The sequence below is a fragment of the Homo sapiens genome, chromosome 3 (genome assembly GCF_000001405.40).
Source record: "Homo sapiens chromosome 3, GRCh38.p14 Primary Assembly".
Lineage (NCBI taxonomy): Eukaryota > Metazoa > Chordata > Mammalia > Primates > Hominidae > Homo > Homo sapiens.
This window is the reverse complement of record NC_000003.12, coordinates 141,934,361-141,939,427: the sequence shown is the minus strand read 5'-3', so window position 1 is coordinate 141,939,427 and position 5,067 is coordinate 141,934,361. Positions and strand designations below refer to the sequence as shown.

At 49.2% G+C, this 5,067-nt stretch overlaps 1 long non-coding RNA gene across 1 annotated transcript, besides 1 other annotated feature; it reads left to right on the top strand.

The window, feature by feature from the left end:
• Positions 835 to 1,681: an enhancer, noted in NCBI's record as "H3K4me1 hESC enhancer chr3:141656589-141657435 (GRCh37/hg19 assembly coordinates)". NCBI's record gives its function as "activates a minimal SCP1, AML or CMV promoter by ChIP-STARR-seq in primed H9 embryonic stem cells {active_cell/tissue: H9 hESC(primed)}" and the evidence as "EXISTENCE:reporter gene assay evidence [ECO:0000049][PMID:30033119]".
• Positions 1,006 to 5,067, top strand: LOC124909442 (uncharacterized). Its single transcript, XR_007096121.1, has 2 exons — positions 1,006 to 1,734; positions 4,911 to 5,067. It is a non-coding gene; the product is annotated as an uncharacterized LOC124909442 (long non-coding RNA).

The window sequence follows — 5,067 nt, the reverse complement described above, 5'->3', positions numbered from 1 at the left end:
TGATCCGCCTTCCTCGGCCTCCCAAAGTGCTGGGATTACAGGCATAAGCCACCGTGCCTGGCTCACTGCAGCCTCCGCCTCCCAGGTTCAAGCAATTCTCCTGCCTCAGCCTCCCAAGTAGCTAGGACTACAGGCATGTGCCAACACACCTGGCTAATTTTTGTATTTTTAGTAGAGACTCTTTTGCCATGGTAGTCAGGCTGGTCTCGAGCTCCTGACCTCAAGTGATCTGCCCACCTCGGCCTCCCAAAGTACTGGGATTACAGGAGTGAGCCACCGTGCCTGGCCATGTCTGCTTTTTGTGACAGGTCACTGGAGTAGCGACAAGGCCATTTTGACAATAGAACAGTGGTGGCTCTTCTGCATGAAAGACTCTGGCCCATCTTACGATCAGCTAAATAACACTTTCCTCAAGTATTACCAAAATTCAGTTTATAAGTCATGACTAAGAGTGGAAGAAGGGGCTGGGATGCACCTGTAATCCCAGCTACTTGGGAGGCTGAGGCAAGAGAATAGCTTGAACCTGGGAGGTGGAGGCTGCAATGAGCCGATTTCGTGCCACTGCACTCCCACATGGGCAAAAGAGGGAGACTCCATCTCAAAAAAAAAAAAAAAAAGAAAAAAAGAAAAAAAAGGAGTGGAAGGACACAAGAATGACATACTTTTATTTCAATAAATGCTTTTGGAAATGATTTTTAAGAACAAAAACTAGAGACCTCCTGAAAGTCGGATTAAAGGTTGTGCAGGCCGGGTGCAGTGGCTCAGGCCTGTAATCCCAGCACTTCGGGATGCCGACGGGGGCAGATCACCTGAGGTCGGGAGTTTGAGACCCGCCTGACCAATGTGATGAACCCCATCTCTACTAAAAATACAAAAATTAGCAGGGCGTGGTGGCGGGCACCTGTAATCCCAGCTACTCGGGAGGCTGAGGCAGGAGAACCGCTTGAACCCAGGAGGCAGAGATTGCAGTGAGCTGAGATCCCGCCCTTGCACTCCAGCCTGGGCAACAACAGTGAAACTCCGTCTCAAAAAAAAAAAAAAAAAAAAGCGTGCAAAGATGCATATGATGAACTGCATTTTCCTCGGAGCAGTTGGTATTCCCCCCTCCTCTCACCCTCTTTGAACAGACGGGCATTCGGGGAATGGGGGGAGGGGACACAGCATGGCGGGGGTTCCTTGCTCCCTTAGCCAGGGCGGTTGACTCGCACCCTGCTGCAGGACGGAGAAGGCAGCCGCTTGGAAACCCCGGGCTTCAGTCCTCAGCCGGGTCTCTGGATGTAGACCCCCGGAGTCTGTCTTCTGAGACCGACAAGGCTTGTCAATGGGCAACACAGGCTCCGGGACTTCCGGAAACAGTTTCTCAAGAAACATTTCTGAAACTGCTTGGTTAAGGATGACTCCCGCAAGGGCGGCTGTCACCTGCCTGCTGGGCCCGCACCGGGAGACTTGTCTACACATAAACTGTGCAGGTTAAAGACAGGCCAGGCCAAAGAAATAAGCTTGCAGAGGAGAGAGGGTTTTCACCTATTTTCTTCCCTACCCCAATCCCTGAAAGTTTTCTCAGAACCTGGAGGGCCCAGCATGAGCAACTTCCTGGGCTGGGGCTTGGCCAGGGAGGCAGGTGCCTGCCAGGGCAGGCAGGGACCACTCCCTGTCATCGTAACAAAAGATAACACAGAAGCAGATGGGAGAAAAGTCTGGGGAGAAACAACATGAGCAGAAAACCACAGAAATGTAAGTTTACAACACCCCTATGTTATCAGCCAGGGAGCCATGGAGGTGCTGCAGGGCAGTAGCCCGCCAGCAAGACGCCAGATTTCTCCTTCCAGGTGCTGAGGGAGGGGCTGGTGGTTCAGCCGAGGGGATGAGAAAACCAGCAGCAGCTGCAGCAGTTGGTAAAACGGGCACACCGGGCGCGGTGGCTCACGCCTGTCATCCCAACGCTTTGGGAGGCCGAGGCAGGTGGATCACAAGGTCAGGAGATCGAGACTATCCTGGCCAACGTGGTGAAACCTCGTCTCTACAAAAAATACAAAAATTAGCTGGGCGTGGTGACATGTGCCTGTAATCCCAGCTACTCAGGAGGCTGAGGCAGGAGAATCGCTTGAACCAGGGAGTCGGAGGTTGCAGTGAGCCGGGCACAGTGGCTCACATCTTATCCCAGCACTTTGGGAGGCCGAGGCGGGTGGATCACCTGAGGTCAGTAATTCGAGACCAGCCTGACCAACATGGTAAAACCCCCATCTCTACTAAAAATACAAAATTAGCTGGGCGTGGTGGCACGAGCCTGTAATCCCAGCTACTCGGGAGGCTGAGGCAGGAGAATCCCTTGAACCTGGGAGGTGGAGGTTGCAGTGAGCCAAGATCACGCCATTGCACTCCCACCTGGGCTACAAGAGCAAAACAAACAAACAAAAAAAACAAAAGAAAAGAAAGAGGCCGGGCGCGGTGGCTCATGCCTGTAATCCCAGCACTTTGGGAGGCCGAGGTGGGCGGATCACGAGGTCAGGAGATCGAGACCATCCTGGCTCACACGGTGAAACCCCATCTCTACTAAAAATACAAAAAATTAGCCGGGTGTGGTTGCAGGTGCCTGTAGTCCCAGCTACTAGGGAGGCTAAGGCAGGAGAATGGCCTGAACCTGGGAGGCGGAGCTTGCAGTGAGCCGAGATCACGCCACTGCACCCCAGCCTGGGTGACAGAGCGAGACTCCATCTCAAGAAAAAATAATAATAAAATAAAATAAAGAAAGAAAGTACTAGTGGGTATCAACCAATGGACTGACAAGCAAGTCTCCTCATCTGAACTTAGATGAGCTGTCATTTGAGCAATTTTAATTGACATCTCTTTACATATGATATAAATCATATATTCCAGATCCTATAAAGTACTTCCCATGCATAATCCCATAGCATAGCAAAATTCTAATTTTTCTATAGGACTTTGTCATGTTTAATAAACAGTGTTAGAACACACTCTGCAGTTGACAGTCTGTTAACCACAGATTTTCTTTAATTTTTTTTTTTAAGACAGAGTCTCACTCCGTCACCCAGGCTGGAGTGCAGTGGCGCGATCTCGGCTCACTGCAACCTCCACCTCCCGGGTTCAAGCAATTCTCTGCCTCAGCCTCCCAAGTAGCTGGGGTCACAGGCGCCTGCCACCATGCATCGGCTAATTTTTGTATTTTTAGTAGAGACGGGGTTTCGCCATCTTGGCCAAGCTGGTCTTGAACTCCTGACCTCGTGATCCACCCAGCTCGACCTCCCAAAGTGCTGGGATTACAGACATGAGTCACCTTGCCTGGCCTAATTTGTTGTTGTTGTTGCTGTTTTTTGTTAGGTTTTGAGATGAAGTCTCACTCCGTCACCCAGGCTGGAGTGCAGTGGTGCGATCTTGGCTCACTACAACCTCCGCCTCCCGGGTTCAAGTGATTATCCCGCCTCAGCCTCCTGAGTAGCTGGGATTACAGGCACGCGCCACCACGCCCGGCTAATTTTTGTATTTTTAGTAGAGAGGGGGTTTCACCATGTTGGTCAGGCTGGTCTCAAACTCCTGACCTCATGATCTGCCTGCCTCGGCCTCCCAAAGTGCTGGGATTACAGGCATGAGCCATGGCACCTGGCCTTAATTTTATCTTTTGTTTCAAGAATTATTATTTTTTGTTGTGTTTTTTGTTTGTTTTTTGTGTGTTTTGTTGTTGTTGTTGTTGTTGTTGAGACAGAGTCTTGCTCTGTGGCCCAGGCTGGAGTTCAGTGGTGCGATCTCAGCTCACTGCAACCTCCACCTCCTTGAGCTCAAGTGACCCTCCTGCCTTAGCTTCCCAAGTATCTGGGACCACAGACATGCGCCACCACACCTGACTAATTGTCTTGTATTTTTGGTATAGACGGGGTTTTGCCATGTTGCTCAGGCAACTCCTGGGCTCAAGTGATTGGTCTGCCTTAGCCTCCCAATGATAGGGATTACAGGTATGAACCACCGCACCTAGTTACATAAATGTTTAAATGAAGCGAGACAACACCGTCAGTAGGTGAAAGTAGGGGTGTACTTGGCACACCCTGTCTTGCTCCCTCCTATGAGGCTGTGTGTGTGTGTGTGTGTGTGTGTGTGTGTATGTGTGTACCTCCCCCCATACCTTATGTATTGGGTTTTGTGAATGGCTCTAGCCTTTATGGCCAGAACTCTTGATTGGAAGAGGAGGGAGAAAAGGTCATCACTGCTTGCAGCTGCAGGCATAATAAGCCGCCATCCACCCGCCTCAGGAATTCTCCTCCAGCTTAACTTTCAGTGTGACAGAAACAAGTGAAAAATCTCTGAGATGAGAAATTATCTGAAAACACGGAACACTCATTCCATGGTATAGAAGGAGGTGTTGTCCAACTTTAAAAAATAAAGAAATTCAGCCAGGTGCGGTGGCCCATGCCTGTAATCCAGCACTTTGGGAGGCCGAGGTAGGCAGATCACCTGAAGTCAGGAGATTGAGACTAGCCTGGCCAACATGGTAAAACCCTGTCTCTACTGAAAATACCAAAAAAAAAAAAAAAAAAAAAACAAACAAACAAAAAAAAAACCGGGCGTGGTGGCGGCACCTGTAATCCCAGCTACTAAAGCAGGAGAATTGCTTGAACCCGGGATGGGGAGGTTGCAGAGTGCACTCCAGCCTGGGCAACAAGAGCAAAACTCCATCTCAAAAAGATAAAATAAAAATTCTCTGGAAAATAACATGATCAGGATCTTGTTTCTTATGGACTTTCATCTGTGTAAAATTCAGGGCCTTGCACCTGATATGTAAGTTGTCAGTGTTGAATGAATGAATGAGTGAATGAGTGAATGAGTGAAGAACAAACTTTTTCAAAGTATATTGACCTTTTGGTTAATTTCAAATAACCGAACAGTGCTCATACTTTTAGTGCAGATGACCCAGGCAAGTTTGAAAAATTGGCCTCTTACGAGCCTCTGTCAAGAGAGAACAAGATGAAGAGTTCAAAGTCGCAAAGTGTGGTCTTGCCTTACCTCAGAAGTCATGGGACGGTAGAAACAATAAAGTAAGTTAATCCAAGGGGAAAA